Source organism: Homo sapiens, chromosome 18, assembly GCF_000001405.40.
Source record: "Homo sapiens chromosome 18, GRCh38.p14 Primary Assembly".
Classification (NCBI taxonomy): domain Eukaryota; kingdom Metazoa; phylum Chordata; class Mammalia; order Primates; family Hominidae; genus Homo; species Homo sapiens.
Window position 1 is genome coordinate 54,323,647 of NC_000018.10, and position 22,410 is coordinate 54,346,056.

The 22,410-nt window shown below is 38.7% G+C and overlaps 1 protein-coding gene across 6 annotated transcripts in view; it reads right to left on the bottom strand.

Moving 5' to 3' along the window:
• Window positions 1-845: 845 nt before the first annotated feature.
• The window catches only part of STARD6 (StAR related lipid transfer domain containing 6), a 33,367-nt gene continuing 11,802 nt past the window's right edge, over window positions 846-22,410 (bottom strand). For 3 of the 6 annotated variants that reach the window (NM_139171.2, XM_047437300.1, NM_001394379.1), the window contains 4 exons: window positions 13,479-13,605; window positions 8,096-8,213; window positions 5,701-5,794; window positions 846-1,229 (listed from right to left, as the gene is read on the bottom strand). In NM_139171.2, the coding sequence (NP_631910.1) occupies window positions 1,046-1,229; window positions 5,701-5,794; window positions 8,096-8,213; window positions 13,479-13,605 (523 nt within the window). In that variant the 3' untranslated portion in view covers window positions 846-1,045. The remainder of the gene's footprint in view (window positions 1,230-5,700; window positions 5,795-8,095; window positions 8,214-13,478; window positions 13,606-22,410) is intronic. The other 3 variants (NM_001371101.1, NM_001371102.1, NR_138549.2) reach the window with 2 other exon arrangements.

Consider the following 22,410-nt stretch of genomic DNA (forward strand, 5'->3'; position numbering starts at 1 on the left):
CCTGCTTGGTCAGTCTACATCACCTGGAAGGGCAATCAGTGCTGTCTGCATCTGCCAGGTAGAAGATGGGAGATTAGCTCCCTGCTCAGCTTTGTAGACACCATGGGATAGGGGTGTGTCAGGGCACCACCATCTGCTTCTGTGGGACAGGGGTGGGTAGGATAGAAAAGTGTCTCCTTGCTCTGCCACACTGAAACCATGGGGGTGGTTTGTAGGTTGATGCTTGGCTGGTGTAGGGTAGGCATTATAAAAAAGTGTTTTGTTCTGTTAGGCACCTGGTCCTATGACTAGGAGGAGAAGGCTTTTCATGCATGCAGTTGTGTGTGTGTGTGTGTGTGTGTGCATGTGTGTGTGTTTCTTTCCCACCTGGGATATGTGGGAGGCAATAAGGAAACCCAGAGAACTCACTGAATGTCATTCCTTAAGTCCCGACGTCCATAGATAGCTTGCTGCATTCTTTCCACCTATGCTTGAGTTTTCCTATGCTTGTTTATTGTGTTATGTGCAGGGTCTTTAAGTTTTAAGAGGAAAGACTTGGGAGGAATGGGCTATTGCATCTTGGCCACACCAGAAATTGTTTGATGACTCATTGCATTTAAAATTCTAAATGTCATTGGTCATACATTTTAGTGGAATTCTTTTCAATTTTTATGTTCATGTTTCCTACAATTGTCAGTTTAAGCAGTAAGTGAAAGAAAAACAATTTAAAATGTATTTTAACTTTTAGTTAATGCTGACCTCTGACTGTATCTGCTTTCTTATTGGTCCTTATACAGAGGATTTTACAGGGACAAAAGCAAAAGATAAAAATATACTAATAACACTTATTTAACATCATTCTTACGTGAGATTAAAAACGGTATTTAATGCCATATTCTTGTACAACTATGAGTTCTTATTTTTATGAACTATCTTCAGCCATGTGTACAAGAATACTGTCTAGAATAGTTTAACAGTATTATTTATGTGCGTTGACTTAGAAGTAAACAGCAATAACTACTACACATGATTTTATAGCAGAACGGCCTCATTTCTTCTTTTGGTATCATGAATGACTATTATGATGAAATCCACGTCTTGATGGAGTTCTGTGTGCCTTTATTCCATCTTTTGCATTGAGGATGAAGTTTACTAAGTTGGAAGGCATGGTTTTTTCAATTATTGATGGGGACAATTTTCCTCTCATTTCTGTCTGGACAAACATCACTAGTTTGGAATATGCTGGGTTTCTGTAAGCAAAAGAAGAGTTAAAAAAAGATAAGAAATTTTTAGATTTAACTACTGACTTTACAGGTTTTTGGAGAGCAGGATTCTTATCTTATTCACCGTTGACATACTTAAAAATTGTACTTAAAAATATTAAGTGGCTAGAATATTTCTTAAAATCTTGAGTTTTAGGCACCATTTCCTTTTTGTCATTTTATTGACTTTAAAAAATTCTAACAGTAATGTATGCTTATTATGAAAATTTAAACAATATAAATTTTTCATAATTAAAGAAAATTTTCCCTCCCTCATTTCCCTTATCCTGTTTCCCAGAGATAATCACTGTTTACAGTTTTAATTGTTATATTTTCGCGTGACTATCTTTCTCTCTCTCTATATATATACACAAAAACAGCATACATTTGTACATAAATGAATATGTTCCCCACATATATAAATATAGTTTTATTTTTTAATGGAGATATTTTTCTGCAACTAGTTTTATTTTTATCTTAATAGGACACTATGAACTTCCTTCTGTGTCTGTACATACAATCTACTTAACTGTTTTTCATGGCTACAGACAGTATTTCATTTTCTATTTAACAGTCCTTTTATTGACTATCATTTAGGTTGTTTCTCACTTTTGGCTACTGTAAGTAAAGCTGCAATAAAATATCTTTGTAATGTATCCATTTATGCTTTTTTTTTTTGAGACAGGGTCTTACTCTGTTGCCCAGGCTGGAGTGCAGTGACGTGATTCTAGTTCACTGCAGCCTCGAACTCCTGAATTTAAGCGATTCTCCAGCCTCAGTCTTCTGAGTGGCTGCGATTACAGGTGTGCCCAATCATGCCTGGCTAGATTTTAAAATTTTTTTAAAGAGACAGGGTCTCATTATGTTGCCAAGGCCAGTCTCAAGCTCCTTGCCTCAAGCGATCCTCCCACTTCGGCCTCCCAAAATGCTGGGATTACAGGTGTGACCCACCTCACCCAGCCCCATTTACACTTTTATAAATACTTATAATTTCTAGGTCAAAGGTTTGTGCATTAAGGTTTTTGACACATTAATTCCAAACTGCACTCTAAGTGGTATTTTATATTCTAGCCCATTGATCTTCACACTGGGGTCAGAAAGGGTGAATACTTTTAAGAGAATAAATTTTCCAATCTCTAACTTCCATATGCATTTTTTCCGTAATCAGATCTGTAAATATGTCTCTGTTGGAGATGTGGGCTTTTTCTTTCCTATCAGCCTGTTCAAAATCGCCCTTCTCTTGCTTTATGCAACAAAGGCATACCTGTTATCCACACTAAGTGGTACTATGGTGCTTTACCTTGGTATATAAAAATCTTTGAGATGCTAAAGGGAAAATCTGATTAGTGGCTAGTTGAGAAAAAATTCTTTTCCAAGTCATGCCATTTTTTTTTTTCAGTAAAACTTAAGGATCTAATTGAGTTGTCAGCTGACAGGTCTTTTTTTTTTTTTTTTTTCTTTTGAGACGGGGTCTCACTCTGTCACCCAGGCTGGAGTGCCGTGGAGTGATCTGGGATCACTGCAAGCCCCGCCTCCCGGGTTCAAACGATTCTCCTGCTTCAGCCTCCCGAGTAGCTGGGACTACAGGCCTGTGCCACCATGCCTGGCTAATTTTTGTATTTTTGGTAGAGATGGGGTTTCACCATGTTGGCCAGGCTGATCTCGAACTCCTGACCTCAGGTGATCCACCCGCCTCAGCCTCCCAAAGTGCTGGGATTACAGGTGTGAGCCACTGTGCTTGGCCAGGTCTTTTTTTAATGATAAACATTTTTTGATGATAGGTTACTACATAATTTATGGTATATAATTCATAAATTTTTTATATAAAAATAAAATAAAAAATATTTTTATATAATTCTCAAATTTTATTTTTATTTATTATTAAATCAAAAATTAATTGAATGACAGTGCTGGAATTATACTCTCTCCATTTCAACACATTTATGTTAATAAATTTTCTTTGATTTTCTTAAAATGAAAGCAGTAGTAGACTTGATATTGAATGCTGTCTTATTTTTCAGTAATATACACCCACAGTTAAATGAAATGAGTGTAATGGTTAAAAGCGTGGACTCAGGAACTAGTCTGCCTTGATTTGAAACTGAGCTTTGCTATTACCTATATGTAACCTTCAGATAGTTAATCTCTTTGGGCTTCCACTTTCTTTCCTGCCCATTGGGCATAGTCACACTACCTACTTTATGGGGTTACTTTGAAGATCAAATGAGTCAATATATACAAATTGTTTATAATAGTGCCTAGCACATAGTAAGTGCTATTTCAGTTTTGCTAATAATAAAATATGTGTTTCTAATAACAGTTTGCATTATGTTTAATATTTGTATACAAACATTTTTAATTTTGATCAATATATAATGATAACAACTTAATCCAGAAGGCATATATATATTTTTAATTGTTAGATAGTATGGTTATAGGAAATAAAACACATTTTAAAACTTTAAACACATGTCATTTTTACAGAGAATTAGGATGACTACGAAAAAATTCAAAGCATAAAATATATTCTATTAGAATAAAATTATATGAGGGAAAAATAAAAATGTGAGTTCAAGGAGGAAAGGAATGATGTAAAGTTTCTGACTGTTAAAAGTTGTATTTATTTTGAAATGAATAATTTAATGGTGGGTTTCAAGTTATGGTATTTATAATCTACTGGATACGTTTATAAGGATGGTATAACCGCTTTTTAAAAAATGTCAATGTTTAGCGCATGCTGGGAATTGTACTTTTCATCAACGTAATTTACTTTTCATCAATGTAATCCCTATGAAAAATTTTAATGTCAACTTAAAAATGTGCAAGAGAGAATATAGTTTTATAAAATTTTCAAGGGAGACTACCCTTCCAACAAATAGTGTGAGCGTCCATTTTCTTATACTTTTCTCTATGCAGGGTTTATACTATTTTTACAGTGCCTCAAATGGCTACACCGAGAACAGAGTAGTTCCCTCTTATACTCTGTTTCACTTTCTGCAGTTTCATTTATCCAAGGTCAACCTGTTCCAGAAATAAGAAAAATTCATAAGCTTTTAATTGTACATTGTTCTGAGTAATGTGATGAAATCTTACACCGTCCTGCTCTGTCCCACCCAGGATGTGAAATCATCCCTTTACCAGTGTATTCAGGCTGTATAGGCCACCCACCCGTTAGTCACTTAGTAGCCCTCTTGATTATGAGATTAAAAAAACCATGGTGTATACATAGGGTTTGGTACTATCCATGGGTTTAGGCATTTACTTGGGGTCATGGAACGTATCTCCATGGATAAATGGGGGAACTACTGTCCTTACTAGTAGTTTGTATGGTCTTAAATCTTTATTTGTGTTTACAATGGCTTTACACACATGAGAAAGCCTTTCTAATATTTACTGGAGTGCACTTCTACATTGACAAGGTGCAAGAAGGGGACTTGGCCTGTGAAGCACACTTTAAGCTGTGTAATTTTCCAACTCTAGTCCATGCCAGCAGTTGATTTACCTTGCTGAATTGGAGTAATTACCCTTCATTTGTTTTGTTTTCTCCTGCTATGGAGAATAAAGTCTTGGCCATAGATTCAAAATTGACAAATGGGTAGAAAGACCATACATTGTTATTATTATTATCTGCATCAACAATCGTATACATTAACATGAATAATTGTGAGGTTTTTTAGTTTTCCAGTTCAGTAGAGGAAATGTTAAGGAATACAGGTCCAAAATTTAATTTCATTTGGGCTTCCTTCACATACATTTTTTTTTTTGTACTGAGACATTTATATCTGACCAATACATCTGTTATCACGTGCCAATATCTTTTACTTAATAAAAAATCATTTAGCAAACATTAAAATTTAAGGAACTTGTGAAATGATATACATTGAATTTGAGTATATGCTTTTACAAAATAAGTATATTTTATGCTGCCATTTTATCCCAAGGCCACCTTTAGGCAGTGACTCATCTCTGATTTCTTCGGCTTTTCTTTTTATCTGAATGTACCTACTGGATCTCATTTTGCAGGTATCTGCTCTTAGTAGGTAGTCCATTGGGAAGAATTCATTCAAAGTAAAACATTCATTACTGATAAATGTTAAGTGTGCTATAATTCTAGGAAAGTTTATTTTTAATTCACAAAAGTTCCTTAATAATTTACAGAAATGACTCTAATGGAGAAATAGAAAACATCAAGGAAGCTTAACTGCTGGGAAATGTTTGTGTGTGTTTGACTGTTCTCAGAAACCTCAGATCATACTTTATAGGGAAGTATCCATTCTGATTATACTTAAAATGAAAACGATTATAAGAAGTTATTTTAAAAATCATATTTAGGGGAAGTTTTTTTCCCGCAACAGAATATGCTGCTACATATTTCTACTGATGAGCCAGCAATCTTAAACTAAATCACAAGTTGAACTAAAAAAACCTGTTAAAATAAATAAGTGCAAACAACACTTACTCTTCCATTGGTGAACATACAAAGCCACAAGGATGGTTATAACCGCGGATATAATTTGAAGATGGAGGATATTCTGGAAAATCCACACTTTTAGCTAAGAGATTTTAAAAAATTAAAATGAAACCTATTCACAAAGAGGAAAAACTATTTCCAGCAGCATATTTTTAGAAACATATAGCATTTAAGTTAGTTAATAGCATTAACATTAGTTTTATATATGTGAATGTGTATTTGCACATGTGAAGCCAAAATTGAGAAAATACCAGTATCAACACTATTGTCCTCTTGAACTTTTTCCTGCTAGTTATTTCTAAAGATGCTGTCAACTTCTGTATACAAGAAAAATGGTTAAAAGTATCATTGAACTATTTTCTGAGATTTGAAGCAAAAGATAGCTCAAATCTCAGAAAATAGTTAATGCTGATAACTAACTTAAATCTCACTGGGTTTGAGTGAAAACTGTTAACTGGCTTTGGGTGAATACTATTCTGCTAGGGTCCTGGGTTCATAGATTTTTGTGTTAATCATGTTTTTTTTTTTAAATAAAATATTCAAAGTAGTTAGATGGTCTGTCAGTAAAGGTACTTTAAAATGCTTCCTTCTGCAATTCCCTGTAGCTAACTTCAAACTCTAACTAAAAATCAATAGAGTTTATTTTAGAATTATGCAACCTAGTGTCTGTATTCTATGTGAATGCAGAGGGGGGTGGTTTATGATTTCATTTATGATAATATATATACTCTTCTAAAACTATTTTAAAAGATATATTTGTTTATTCTGTGCAACTGAATCCTGCTCTTGTCAGAGAAGATGGATTTTCTGATATGATTTTAACATAAAGCAAATCAATTCCATGGGAAATACAATGTAAAACACTAAGGAGACTAGAGTTGTTGAATGAATTTTCCATTTTTATGACTTATATCATTATCTTAACAGAGCCTATAATAGTACTGCCAGAGTGATCTTATTATAAAAGATTTTTTCCCTGTTTGAAATATGGAAATTATGCTTGTCTTCTTTAAAAAAATCTGTTGTAGTCTACAAACAGGTATGGGTCTTTTATGAAGCATATGGTGTGGTAGTTAGCACTTATTTTGGAAAATCAGAAAGATCTGAGTTTTAATTCTGGGTTACCTACTTATTAGCTATGTAACTTACTTTCTTAACTGCTTAATTTCCATGAACTTCAGTTTCCTCACTAGTGAGATAATGCAAGCAAAATATTTAGCTTAAAGCAAGGTGCAGGGCAGGATAAAAAAAAAGAAATGTTAAGAAAACTATGAGTACTGATTGAAAATTCATTCAATGGAAACTTTTAAAAGCAAATTGAGTAGTGATTTGTGCACCACGTGGTTGATTACCTCTAGTTGTTGATTTTAACCTCTACTTCTTTTTTTAGCTTCCCTCTGATCACTAATAATTATATAGAAATGGTCTGCTTTCAAAATGTGGAAAATAACAGATCTATGATCTGTTCAGACAAACTATTTTATGTTGTAGGCAGTGAATACATTATATGTGCCCTCATTTCAAAAATGAGACAACGAAACATATATGAACATTATGAACATCAGCCCTTAGTGGTATGCTGCAGAAAGAGCTAACTGGGTTTGAATGAGTGCTATGACTTAGTCTGAACTCTGAAATGTAGAGTACTAAAGATATCTCGGAGGAACTGAAATCTTGTTGGGAAATAATAATTAACGAAACGTAGTTGTCCCTGGTGCCAAGTAGAAATGGTGAAATTAATTCAAATTATAGAGAAAAACGGGCTCTATGCCACTGTGATACCCAAGTTCCTTCACCATGAGTTATCTTAAGTTATCTGAGTCCATAGATCTGTATGGTATGAAATGGTATGTTCTCATCAATAATGCAAGTTAGAAAATGATTACACATTTGCATTTTACAGAATGACATATTTGGGAGTGGGGATAGGGATACATCAAAACCGGCAGTTTCTAAAAGAAATAAAAGCACATTTATGTAAAGAGCCATCTAGTGGAAATTTCTTTAACAGTTTTATCAGTTACTGGATATGTGCATTATAAGCAATTCAAATATAAAATTATATCTGACAATTAATTTTGTTTCTTAGGATTTAAAAAATGTATACCCAAAGTTTTAGGCTACAAGTATCTATCTATACTCAGTGCTACAGGATATATGCTGCAAAAGTCTAAGAGATGTTGCAAATATTGACCATTATATAAATGGCACCTTCAGAGTGTCACTAGGCATATCTACATGATACGTCTAATTGTTGATCCCACTAAGTAAATTTAAAAAGGAAATAATTAAAATATAATTTCTTTGAAGCTGTGAATAAAGGGAAAACATTTATTAATGGCTCGCAGTAATTCCAAGATATGGGCAAAATGTTTCAACTTACAACTGATAATGTTCATATTTCCTTCGTAGCGCTTGATGTACACTAAGTCGATAAAGTCTCGAGGGGAAATGGAGCCCACGGCAAAACTTTGTGTAATGGTATGACATATGAATGTGTCCTGCAACAAATCAAACCGTAAAGATAACAAACGTTACTTAATATCTATTCTTTGTATTGTTTCCCCCCCAAATTTTATTGCATATGATTGGCCTCTATTTGGAAAAAGCAGGGCTTTGAAATTTTAAGATCTCGTCACCAAATCAGCTTGGATTTTGAGTGTTAAAGGAGCATTAAATCTACGAGTGTAGAAAATTCAAGAAGCAATCTTGATATCATCTACTCTTTCAATTTTTAGATGGAGAAATTGAAGCCTAACAGATTAAATCACATTCACATCTAGAGATAAGTACAGAAATAGAACCCAGGTTTCCTGATTCCCCATACAGTACTATTTCTACTACTCCACATAGGCTAAGTAATATATTCTGAAAAATACATTGATTTAGCACCCTGTGGTGTAAGGTCTAACATTAAAGACCAATGTTGTATGCTGGTAAAACCAGCATAGGGTGAAACCAGGAGGGTCTTGAATGGCCTAACTGCACATTCCTTTCCCTCTTCATTCCTGCAGATAAGATCCCCTAGCCAAACAACCCTCCTTCTCAACAGGACCAGCACAGTTACTATTTATCCCTGTTGAGCGGTTTCAGTTCCCTGGTGGCCCATGGAATCATTCAAACAAGTCAATCACATTCTTCTACAGGAACTGGGGCTCACCCTACCCTGTTGACACAAAGGCTACCTCCCACAGCCCCTAGGTGTTCACCCTGTTCCCATGTTGCCCTGTGTGGCATAGTTTGTTCTCCCTCCTTGGTCTGTGATTAATGATTAATAAACTTCAGTCTACCTCACTTGTCCATTGGTGGGTATTATGTGTTTGGCCATCCCCATAACCCTAGAGTGGGAATCTCTCCCTCACCAGTAGGTTGAAGAGGAGGCAGTTAAGACACATCCTTGACCAGGCATGGTGGCACATGCCTGTAATTCCAGCTACTTGGGAGGCTGAAGTAGGATGATCACTTGAGCCCAAGAGTTTGAGGCTAGAGTGAGCTTTGATCACAACACTGCACTCTAGCCTGGGCAAGAGAGTGAGACCCTATCTCTAAAAAGAATAATAATTATAAAAATAAATAAGTAAATAAAACATACTCCTGGAGATGAATACTACAAATCTTTACAAAAAGGGAAAATAATTCTAATTTAGAATTAGGAGACCAGGTACGAGTCCTGGTTCTATCACATATTGGCTGCATCATCCTTGAATAAGTCATATAATCTCTCTGAATTTGTTTTCAGGTTTTTGGATGTCACGTCTAGTATTCTTTCTATTATAACATATGACTTGCAACAACAATAGAAATTTCTGGGCTGGGTGCGGTGGCTCACGCCTGTAATCCCAGCACTTTGGGAGGCCGAGGCAGGCTGATCACAAGTTCAGGAGATCGAGACTATCCTGGCTAACACGGTGAAACTCTGTCTCTACTAAAAATACAAAAAATTAGCCGGGCGTGGTGGCGGGCACCTGTAGTCCCAGCTACTTGGGAGGCTGAGGCAGGAGAATGGCGTGAACCTGGGAGGCGGAGCTTGCAGTGAGCCGAGATTGTGCCACTGCACTCCAGCCTGGGGTGACAGAGCGAGACTCTGTCTCAAAAAAAGAAATATCTGAAGTGCTAATCAAACTGTATGATTAGTATCATACAAAGATGAATGAAATAGTTAAATTTTTGGATTTTCATTTGTGATGCCCAGTGGTTCTCAAACTGAATGTTCAAATCCCAAGAAGATCATGGACATGTGTTTTCTGTGGATAGGAACTTCCTCTCTACAAAATAAAACTGATTTACAAGATGAAGATCAAGGACTTTCTACAAGATGAAACAGATTTACCTTCATGGGCTTTTCTATAACTCTTCTCTCCTAGATTTTAAGATGAGTTTAATAAAAGTAGGTAAAATTACAGAGTTCTAAATAAATGATAATATGATGGCAGATATGTGGGATGTTTATTTATTTATTTACTTATTTTTGTTTGCTTTGATAAATGAAATGCAGGTTGGAGACTTAAAGAACTAAAGGCCTAGTGATCTGAAATTTTACAAATGCAATCATTTGTGAAAATCATAAAAATTAGTTTTATTCCATCATTCACATTCTCATCTCTTTTAAATAAAGTTATTATTAGCCAAAAATCTAGGACTCATTTTTAAAAACAGCTTATTGAGTATAATATACATACCATGAATTCACCTATTTTAAGTATGTAGTTCAATGAATTTCCCAAAGGAACTTTATTTGTGCAATTTCATCACAATCCAGTTTTAGAAGACTTATCTGATTCCTCTCTCCCTGCATCAGTAAGCCCTATTGACTCTATATATCTTTGGGTTCCCTGACTTACCTCCCTCTCCACGTCTACCACCCTTGCACAAGCCACCATAATGTCTCATTTAGATTACTCTCATAGCCTCATAACTTTTTGCTGATTTCGTAGCCTCATAACTGTTTTTGCTGATTTCTTTCTTACCTCCTTATAATCCATGCTCCTTTCAGCAGCTGTCTCTTAAAAGTGTAAATCAAATCAGTCACTTCCCTGCTTAAAACACACCAATGGCTTCCCACTGAACGTAGAGCAAAACTTCTCCCCCTGACCTTTGAGACTCTTGCAGAATCTGATCCCAGCCTAACCTCTCACCTCTTAACCACTCTTCTCCTTGCTTTTTATGGTCAAACCCCACAGACTTTGTTTATCTCTTGACTAAACACTGCCAAACTCTTTCTACCTCAAGGCCTTTGCATTTGCTTTACCCTGTGTCTGCTACTCTCTCCCAGATCTTTGCTTGTCTGTCTCCCTAACCTCCATTTTGTTACCCAGGTTTCTAATGTGTCTCACTCAGAGAGGCCTTTCCCAGTTCTCTAGCTATAAATTAGCTTCTCCTGGTTATTGCCTATACTATTATCCTACATAACACTTATTCTTACCAGTCCTAGCCTTCATTATCTGGTAAGTTTTAAAAAACTGTTTATTTGTTTATTATGTCTCTTCTGATGAGAACGTAAGTTTTGTGAAAGCAGGGACAATTTCTGTCTTCTTCCCTTATGTGTCCCTAGTGAACTGAAACAGTATGGAGTTCACAATAGTTGCTCAAAAAGTATTTGTGAAGTGTGAAGTATTTTGTGAAATATTTGTCAAGTGAATTAATTAGTCAAAAGAACATAAACATCAGTCTGGAAGAGTATGGAACAAAGTCAGGATTCCCCCCAAAACAGATTTCCTAAGATGGAGAAAACACAAACAACTGGAATGGAGAATGAATTTTAATACATTAATGGAAGAGAGGAGAATCATCCCCCCATCCCTCCAGGTGGTTATTTATTTATTTATTTATTTATTTATTTATTTATTTATTTTTGAGATGGAGTTTCACTCTTGTTGCCCAAGCTGGAGTGCGACGGCATGATCCTGGCTCACTGCAACCTCCGCCTCCTTGGTTCAAGTGATTCTCCTGCCTCAGCCTCCCGAGTAGCTGGGGTCACAGGCGCATGCAACCACGCCTGGCTAATTTTTTGTATTTTTAGTAGAATCGCGGTCACCATATTAGCTAGGCTGGTCTCAAACTCCTGACCTCAGGTGATCCACCCGCCTCTGCCTCCCAAAGTTCTGGGATTACAGGTGTGAGCCACCGCGCTCAGCCCCAGGTGGTTATTTTTATCATGGCCTTAATACATAAATGAGATATCTATAGTGTGCTGGACCAAAGTTTGGAATCACTTATCCCACTTCTTCATCCTTGTTTCTACTTGTGATATGGTTTGAATTTGTGTCCCTGCCCAAATATGATGTTGAATTGGAGGATCAGCCTGGTGATTCGATCATGGGGCAGACTTCCCAATTGCTGTTCTCATGATAGTGAGTGAGTTCTCATGAGATCTGATGGTTTAAAAGTGTGTGGTATCTCCCCCTTAGTTCCCTCTCTCCTGTTCTGCCATGGTAACAGAAGAGTTACCTGTTACCTCATGCCAAGGTGTTCCCCTTCACCTTCTGCCATGACTGTAAATTTCCTGAGGCCTCCGAGTCATGCTTCCTGTGAAGCCTATAGAACTGTGAGTCAATTAAACCTTTTTTCTTCATAAATTACCCAGTCTCAGGTAGTTCTTTAGAGCAGTGTGAAAACAGACTAATGCAACCTCTTTTCACCATGTATCATTATTCCTGTCATTTCATTCATTTTTTCTCCTCCTGAGCTTTCATTCTGCCCTTACCTCATACTGATCCTTTCTTCTGTTTCTCTGTAAACCATACTTGCCTCTCACATTCTCCCTTCTCTCAACTTTCTACTCCAATTACATTTTTGTTTTCTCTTTGTTTTTATTCTCTCTCTTTATATCTATTTAACTGAGATAATGTATTTGAAAGTGTTCCTAAACTTCAACCTTCTATATAATGTTATTTCCTTACTTTAACTTTACTGATGTGGTTTGGCTCTGTGTCCCCACCCAAATCCCACCTTGAATTGTAATCCCCACATGTCAAGGGCAGGACCAGGTGGAGATAATTGGATCATGGGGGTGGTTTCCCGCATGCTGTTCTCCTGCTGCCCAGTGAAGAAGGTGCCTGCTTCTCCTTTGCCTTCTACCATGATTATAAGTTTCCTGAGACCTCCCCACCAATGCGGAACTGTGTGTCAATTAAACCTCTTTCCTTTATAAATTACCCAGTCTTGGGTATTTCTTCATAGCCGGCGGACTCATACACCTACTCTTAAACATTATATGCCGTTCGTTCTTTAAGTCCTTATGGTATATGTCTGCATTGTTCCTGTTCTCATGATAGTGAGTGAGTTCTCACGAGGTCTGATGGTTTAAAAATGTGTGGCATCTCCCCCTTTGCTCCCTCTCTCTCCTGCTCTGCCATGGTAAAATGTGCTTACTTCCCCTTCGCCTTCTGCCATGATTGTAAGTTTCCTAATATCTGATGTAATATGACTAAAATAAGTCTACAGACTTCCCATCAATAAGGCATACTTAACCTTTGTTTTCCATGTAATGGAGGTGAATCCCTGAGTTCTGTTCCTTTATAACAAATGGCACACATTGCAGGAGAGCTTACCAGATTCAAAATGTAATATGCATTTACAAGTAGCATAAAGCTAATTGGAATTAAACTGTTGGAAAGTAGGGAAGTTTTAAAGCTTTTATAAAGACTTCAAGTCAATTTGAAACTATAAAATACTGTGTCTACATAACATAGTTTTAATCAACTCACTAAGGTATAAACTAAAAATATATTAATGTTCTAGAAGTCCAGTATTAAACAACAAATTACCGAATCAATCCTGTGTACCATATTATACACTTGCAATGATTTATCCCATGTAATTCTGTCTCCAGTTTGGTAGAGGAAATCAGATAGTTTAGCTGGTGATTCTGGAATTATCCCTTCAACACGATATCTACAGTTAACAAAATAAAGAAAATTCAAAGCTTAAAAAGTTTAGTCTAAGCTGAAAATATAATACTATCAAAGCATAAAGGTAGGCTAATTTAGCAAACAGCAATGAAGAAAACTTGAAGGTACTATCAGCAATTCAATATATTAATATTCAATTGGAAGTAGCAAGGTTTATTTAAATATGCACTGCAATAAATACATTATTTCAAAATTCATTTTTCTATAAGTAGGCTATTAGTAATTAAGTTTTTGGGGAGTCAAAACTTATAATGGGATTTTTGACTGTACGGTGGGTTGGCACCCCTAACTCCCACATTGTTCAAGGGTCAACTGTAATGTTTTATTGAAACATAGCCACACTCATTCATTTATGTGTTAGCTCTGGGTGCTCTTGTGCTATAATGACAGAATTGAGTAGTTGCAAGAGACCAAATGAGTTGCAAAGCCTAAAGTATTTACTGTCTGTCCCTCTACTGAAAAACTTTGCCAACCCCTGGCTTAGGGTATCCATTCAGTGGCTAATCTTGCATTTTCCAGTCACTTTGTAAAGGTAAGAAAAGTACAAATTACAGTTATATGGCTGTAAGGCAGAAATTATTTTTTGTTGGTGAACAATTAGAAGGCCAATAGCTGCATAAAACTAATAGCAACAAAGAAACAAAGACGACCAGCCAGAAGTTTAACAGAGAGAAGCAGGGAAACATACAGCTAAAGTGGCCCACTACGAGCACACTCATCTCTGGGGTCTGGAAGGCTGTGTTTATGCACCGGCTCTGCCTACTCAGTACCAGTCAGAGCAAGATGTAGTGCAGACTTGTAAGTATTTCCCAAGCCACATTCAGATTGATTAGCAAAGAGCTGATGCCTTACTGACTCAGGGACAAAAGTATAGTACAACCTGTAATGCATCACTGACTGGAAAATAATATATTCTATCCACTTTAAAATAAAATATACTCATAGCTGGGTCTGGAAGACTGTGTATGCTGAAGGCTGCACCCTCTGAGGAGTGACTGGTGACAAAACTTCCAAGCTACCAGTCCCTGGCTAAATCCAGAGCAAAACCACAAAACTCCCTGAATTACAAAAGCGGTCTTCAATCCACATACATATTTGACAGTAGAGGGTAAAAATTACCACAAAATGGCTTATGTTGACCAAGGAGTGATCCATAGGAGGCCAGGCTAAAAGATAACCGCAAGTAAAAAGTCAGAGCAGAGATATCAGAGGCTACAGACTCGGGGGAAATAGACTTCACAGAATTAGTCCAGCCAAATCACCAAACAGATGAACAAATGACCAAACAAATAACCACAAACCCAGGATGGGTGGATGGAGTCAGTATCCAGAGTTGCTACACTATTTTACCTAAAACGTTGTTTTAAAAAAAAAACTGCGAGTCATGCAAAGAAACATGAAAAGTATGATTTATACTTAGGAAAAACAGCAAGCAGGAGAAACTACATTTTAGGAGGCCTTATCATATAAAGATGTTGGAATTATCATGTAAAAAATTTGGACGGGCGCAGTGGCTCACTCCTGTAATCACAGCACTTTGGGAGGCCGAGGCAGGCAGATCACGAGGTCAAGAGATCGAGACCAACTTGGCCAACATGGTGAAACCCCGTCTCTACTAAAAATACAAGAATTAGCTGGGCGTGGTGGCATGTGCCTGTCATCCCAGCTACTTGGGAGGCTGAGGCAGGAGAATCGCTTGAACCCAGGAGGCGGAGGTTGCAGTGAGCCGAGATCGTGCCACTGCACTCCAGCCTGGCGACAGAGTGAGACTCCATCAAAAAAAAAAAAAAAAAAAAAAAAAAAAAAAAAAAACTCAAAGCAATGATTGTAAATATGTTCAAAGAACTAACGAAAGCAGGAAAAAAAAAAGGTAGAAAAATAAACAGTGCCTCAGAGAAATGTGATATGCCATTAAACACATCAATATACACATTTTGAGAGTACCAGAAGGAAAGAACTGACACTGCACTCCAGCCTGGATAAGAGAGTGAGACCCGTCTCTCAAAACAAGAAAGGATAGAGAAAAAGAAAAATATGCAAAAAAATATAGAAATAAAATAATGAGTAAAATTTCTACAAATTTGTAGGAAAATACTACATTCAAGAAGTTCATTGAATTCTAAGTAGTATAGGTGGAAAAACATCCACTTCCAGATATATCATAGTCAAAATTCTGAACATGAAAATAAAAATAAAGTCTTGAAAGCAGTTAAAAAAAAAAAAGGCATTACATAGAAGAGAACCATAATAAGACTGACAGCTGGCATGCCATTAGAAACAATGGAGGCCAGAAGGAAGTAAATGACGTTTGAAGAGCTGAAGAAAAAAAGCTACCAAAAAAGAATTCTATATCCAGCTAAGTTATCTTTCAAAAATAAAGGTTAAACAAAGACATTCTGAGATAAATAAAAACAGAGAATTTATTGGTAGTAGTCCTGCCTTACAAAAAATGCTAAAGGGAAGTTCTTCAGGCAAAAGGAAGAGACACAAAATAGTAAGTCAAATCCTTACAAATAAAGAGTTACAGTAACAATAGTATGTAGCTAATGTTACAATACAGTATAATTACATATTTCTTCCCCTTTCTTCTATTAACTGATTAAAGTCAATTTCCTAAAACAATATAACATTTTATTGGGCTTATAAAATGTATACATATAATTGACAATAAACACAACAGAGGGGGATGGAAATAAAGCTATATGTGAATAAAAAAAATAACAGCAGATAGTAACTCAAATCCACAGAAACCAATGAAGAGAACCAGAAATGGTAAATAAGAAAGAATATATTTCTAAAGCTATATTTCTATATAGATGTATTCTTACGGATATATATGTGTATTTAGATGGGTAAGATAGAAATATCTTGAAGTATGTTTGTATTCTCCTATTAAGTTCTTTAAAAGATACTATATAAAGCAATAATTATAACAATATGGTATTTGATTTGTAACATATATAGACATAATATGTGCAACAAAAAACAGCACAAAATGTTGGGGAAGGGACTGGAACCATATAGAAGTAAAGCTTTTATATCTTACTGGAATTAAGTTTGTATACATCTGCAGTAGATTCTGATGAATTAAAATATATTGTAGCCCCTATAGTTATCACTAAGAAAATAACCAAAAAATGTAGTTCAAAAAATTATTAAAGGAATTAAAGATGATACACTTGACAAAACCTACTTAATACAAAAGAAGATAGTAAAAGAACAGAGGAACAAAATAGCCATGAGACATACAGAAAACAAAATAAATTTTTAAAATACAGGAAAAATGACAGACATAAATACAACCATATAACAATAACATTAGGTGTGACTGAATACGGCAGACATAAATACAACCATATAACAGTAACATTAGGTGTGACTGGATTAAACAAGCCAATCAGAAGGTAGAGATTGTCGACAGTATTTCTTTTAACCCCAAACAAGTTCCAACTATATGCTTGCTGTCTATAAAAGATACGCTTTAAATTCAAAGATACATATAGGTGAATGTAAAAGGCTTGAAAAAGATACACCCTGTAAATGGAACCATAGTGAGCTGAGGTGGCTTTACTGGTATCAAATAAAGTAGACTTTAAGATAAAAACTATTAGCAGAGATAAAGAGGGATATATTACAATGATAAAAGGGTTAACCTGTTAGGAAGATGTAATAACTATAAACGTATATTCATCTAATGATAGAGCCCCAAATACATAAAGGGAAAATGGACATATCTCGAGGGAGAAATAGATAATTTCACAATAATAATTAGATACCTCAATAGGTCATTTTCTTTTTTCTTTTTGAGACAGAGTCTTGCTCTGTTGCCCAGGCTGGAGGGCATGCAATGGCGCGATCTCGGCTCACTGCAACCTCCGCCTCCAGGGTTCACGCCATTCTCCTGCCTCAGCCTGCCAAGTAGCTGGGACTAGAGGCGCCCGCCACTGCGCCCGGCTAATTTTTTGTATTTTTAGTAGAGACGGGGTTTCACCGTGTTAGCCAGGATGGTCTCGATCTCCCGACCTCATGATCCGCCCACCTCAGCCTCCCAAAGTGCTGGGATTACAGGCGTGAGCCACCGTGCCCGGCCCACGTCATTTTCAATAATGAATGAAACAATCAGAAGAAAATCAGCAAGAATATTGAAGACTTGAACAACACTAGATCTAAGAGACACCTATGGAACACTCCTAAAAATAGCAGAATAGACATTCTTCTCAAGTGCATCTGGTACATTCTACAAGAGAGACCATCGTTCAGGCAATAAAACAAGTCTCAAATTCAAGGATTCAAATTTTACAAAGTATTTTTGTCATCACAATGGAATTAAATTTTAACAACAGAAATTTGGGAAATTCCCAAATATGTAGAAATTAAAACATTCTTAAATAACCAGTAAGTCAAAGAAGAAAAATTAAGTCAAAGAAAAATTAGAGAATAATTTGAGATAAATCAAAATGAAAACCCAACATGCCAAAACTTATGGGATGCTGCAAAAGCAGTGCTTAGAGGAAAATTTATAGTTGTAAATGTCTATATTTTTTAAAAAAAGAAGTTCTGAAATCAATAACCTAGCCTTTAATTTTAGGAAACTAGAAAATGAAGAGCAAACTAAACCCAAAGCTAGCAGAAGGCAGGAAATAATAAGGATTACAGTAGAAAGTAATGAAATTGTGAATAGAAAAATAAGAAAATTAATAAAACCACAAGTTGTATCTTTGAAAAGATCAACAGAATTGATAAATGTTTAGCTAGATGTACGCAAAAAAAGAGAATAGACTCAACTAAAATCAAGACTGACCCTATACAAATAAAAAGGGTTGTAAGAGAAGAATGATGTGTCAACAAAGTAGATAGCTTAGATGAAATGGACAACGTCCTAGAAAAGCACAAATTACTGAAACTGATTTAAGAAGCAATAGCACATCTTAATTATCTATAACAAGACAGAGATTGAATTAGTAATCCAAATAATCCCCACAAAAAGAGCCCATGCTCAGATGGCTTCACCGGTGAATCTGACCAAAAGTTTAAAGAAAAATTTTTACATAAATCCTCCACAAACTATTCCAGAAAATAAAAGAGGAGGAAACATTTCCCAAATTTTAGCTTGATATCAAAACCAGATAAAGATATCATAAGAAAATGCTCTCCGTCTCCCTCTCCCTCTCCCTCTCCCTCTCCCTCTCCCTCTCCCTCCCTCTCCGTCTCCGTCTCCGTCTCCCTCTCCCCACGGTCTCCCTCTCATGCGGAGCCGAAGCTGGACTGTACTGCTGCCATCTCGGCTCACTGCAACCTCCCTGCCTGATTCTCCTGCCTCAGCCTGCCGAGTGCCTGCGATTGCAGGCACGCGCCGCCACGCCTGACTGGTTTTGGTGGAGACGGGGTTTCGCTGTGTTGGCCGGACCGGTCTCCAGCCCCTAACCGCGAGTGATCCGCCAACCTCGGCCTCCCGAGGTGCCGGGATTGCAGACGGAGTCTCGTTCACTCAGTGCTCAATGGTGCCCAGGCTGGAGTGCAGTGGCGTGATCTCGGCTCACTACAACCTCCACCTCCCAGCCGCCTGCCTTGGCCTCCCAAAGTGCCGAGATTGCAGCCTCTGCCCGGCCGCCACCCCGTCTGGGAAGTGAGGAGTGTCTCTGCCTGGCCGCCCATCGTCTGGGATGTGAGGAGCCCCTCTGCCCGGCCGCCCAGTCTGGGAAGTGAGGAGCGTCTCCGCCCGGCCGCCATCCCATCTAGGAAGTGAGGAGCGCCTCTTCCCAGCCGCCATCACATCTAGGAAGTGAGGAGCGTCTCTGCCCGGCCGCCCATCGTCTGAGATGTGGGGAGCGCCTCTGCCCCACCGCCCCATCTGGGATGTGAGGAGCGCCTCTGCCCGGCCGAGACCCCGTCTGGGAGGTGAGGAGCGTCTCTGCCCGGCCGCCCCGTCTGAGAAGTGAGGAGACCCTCTGCCTGGCAACCACCCCGTCTGAGAAGTGAGGAGCCCCTCCGCCCGGCAGCTGCCCCGTCTGAGAAGTGAGGAGCCTCTCCGCCCAGCAGCCACCCCATCTGGGAAGTGAGGAGCATCTCCGCCCGGCAGCCACCCCGTCCGGGAGGGAGGTGGGGGGTCAGCCCCCCGCCCGGCCAGCCGTGCCATCCGGGAGGGAGGTGGGGGGGTCAGCCCCCTGCCCGGCCAGCCGCCCGGTCTGGGAGGTGAGGGGCGCCTCTGCCCGGCCGCCCCTACTGGGAAGTGAGGAGCCCCTCTGCCCGGCCAGCCGCCCCGTCCGGGAGGGAGGTGGGGGGGTCAGCCCTCCGCCCGGCCAGCCGCCCCGTCTGGGAGGTGAGGGGCGCCTCTGCCCGGCTGCCCCTACTGGGAAGTGAGGAGCCCCTCTGCCCGGCCAGCCGCCCCGTCCGGGAGGGAGGTGGGGGGGTCGGCCCCCCGCCCGGCCAGCCGCCCCGTCCGGGAGGGAGGTGGGGGTGTCGGCCCCCCGCCCGGCCAGCCGCCCCGTCCGGGAGGGAGGTGGGGGGGGTCAGCCCCCCTGCCCGGCCAGCCGCCCCGTCCGGGAGGTGAGGGGCGCCTCTGCCCGGCCGCCCCTACTGGGAAGTGAGGAGCCCCTCTGCCCGGCCAGCTGCCCCGTCCGCGAGGGAGGTGGGGGGGTCAGCCCCCCGCCCGGCCAGCCGCCCCGTCCGCGAGGGAGGTGGGGGGGGTCAGCCCCCCTGCCCGGCCAGCTGCCCCGTCCGGGAGGTGAGGGGCGCCTCTGCCCGGCCGCCCCTACTGGGAAGTGAGGAGCCCCTCTGCCCGGCCACCACCCCGTCTGGGAGGTGTGCCCAACAGCTCATTGAGAACGGGCCAGGATGACAATGGCGGCTTTGTGGAATAGAAAGGCGGGAAAGGTGGGGAAAAGATTGAGAAATCGGATGGTTGCCGTGTCTGTGTAGAAAGAAGTAGACATGGGAGACTTTTCATTTTGTTCTGCACTAAGAAAAATTCCTCTGCCTTGGGATCCTGTTGATCTGTGACCTTACCCCCAACCCTGTGCTCTCTGAAACATGTGCTGTGTCCACTCAGGGTTAAATGGATTAAGGGCGGTGCAAGATGTGCTTTGTTAAACAGATGCTTGAAGGCAGCATGCTCGTTAAGAGTCATCACCAATCCCTAATCTCAAGTAATCAGGGACACAAACACTGCGGAAGGCCGCAGGGTCCTCTGCCTAGGAAAACCAGAGACCTTTGTTCACTTGTTTATCTGCTGACCTTCCCTCCACTATTGTCCCATGACCCTGCCAAATCCCCCTCTGTGAGAAACACCCAAGAATTATCAATAAAAAAATAAATTAAAAAAAAAAAAAAAAAAGAAAATAAAACTACACCCCAGTATCTCTTATGTATATGCAAAAACCTTCAAGAAAGTACCAGCCTACCAAATCTAGCAATGTATAAAAAGGATTATAAAGCATGACCAAGTGGGATTTATCCCAGAATGCAAGGTTGGTTTACCATATGAATTATCAATTACTACAATACACAATTTTAATAGACTAAACAACAAAACCACATCATTTCAATAGATGTGGAAAAAGCATACGACAAAATCCAACACCCATTCAGGATAAAGCATTCATAGAATGAGGGGTATAGGGAAATGCCCTCAACTTGATAAAGGGCACCTATGAAAAATCCACTGCTAACATCAAACTTAATGGTGGAAAAACTAAATACTTTTCTATTAAGATCAGGAATAAGACAAGGATGTCCACTCTTGTCACTGCTATTAAACATTGTATTGGAGGTACTAGCCCAGGCAGTTAGGTTAGAAAAAGAAATAAAAGTCATCCAGATTGAAAAGGAAGAAGTAAAACTCTTCATGACATGATTTTATATATAGAAAAAAACAACAGAATCCACTAAAATAATACAACTAAGAAGTCCAGTAAAGCTTCAGGATACAAGATCAATATATAAAAATCAATTGTATTTCTATATGCTAGGATTAAAATTTTTTAAAAGTAATTCAGAAAACAATTCCATTTACAATAACATCAAAAAGAATAAAGCTTTGAAATAAATTTAACAAAAGTCATTGAATGGTGTTAGAGTAAAATAAAAAAAAATAGAACACGTTTAAGACATATACTGAAACTTATAAAACATTCTGAAAGAAGTTTGAGAAGCTCAAAATAAACAGAGAGACATCCTATGTTCATGTACTGGAAGACTTAATATTTTTAAAATGGCAATAATTCTCCAAATTGAACTACAGAATCAAAGCATCTTTGTCAAAATCCCAGCTGACTTTTTTTTGAGATGGGGTCTTGCTCTGTTGCTGAGGCTGGAGTGTCTAAAATTCATATGGAAATGCAAGGGAACCAGTATAGCCAAGATAGTCTTGAAAAACAGAAAAGTTGTAAGACTCACACTTCTTAATTTCAAAACTTACTAAAAGGCTATAGTAGTGAAGGTTGTGTGGTATTGGCATAAGGACAGACAGAGAGATCAACTGAATATAATTAAGCATCCAAAGGAAACTCCTAATGTATATGGTCAATTGATTTTTGACAAAGGAGCCCAGACAATGTAATGGGGAAAGAAGAATCTCCAACAAATAGTGCTGGGACAATTGGATATTTACATGCAAAGATTGAATTGGACTCCTGCCTCACACCATACAGAAAATTAACTCAAAGTGATCACAACAGACCTACATGTAAGAAATAAAACCATAAATTCTTAGGGATAAATCTTTGTGACCTTGGGTCAGCCAATTATTTCTTGGATTCAGCACCAGCAACACAAGTAACACAACAGAAGA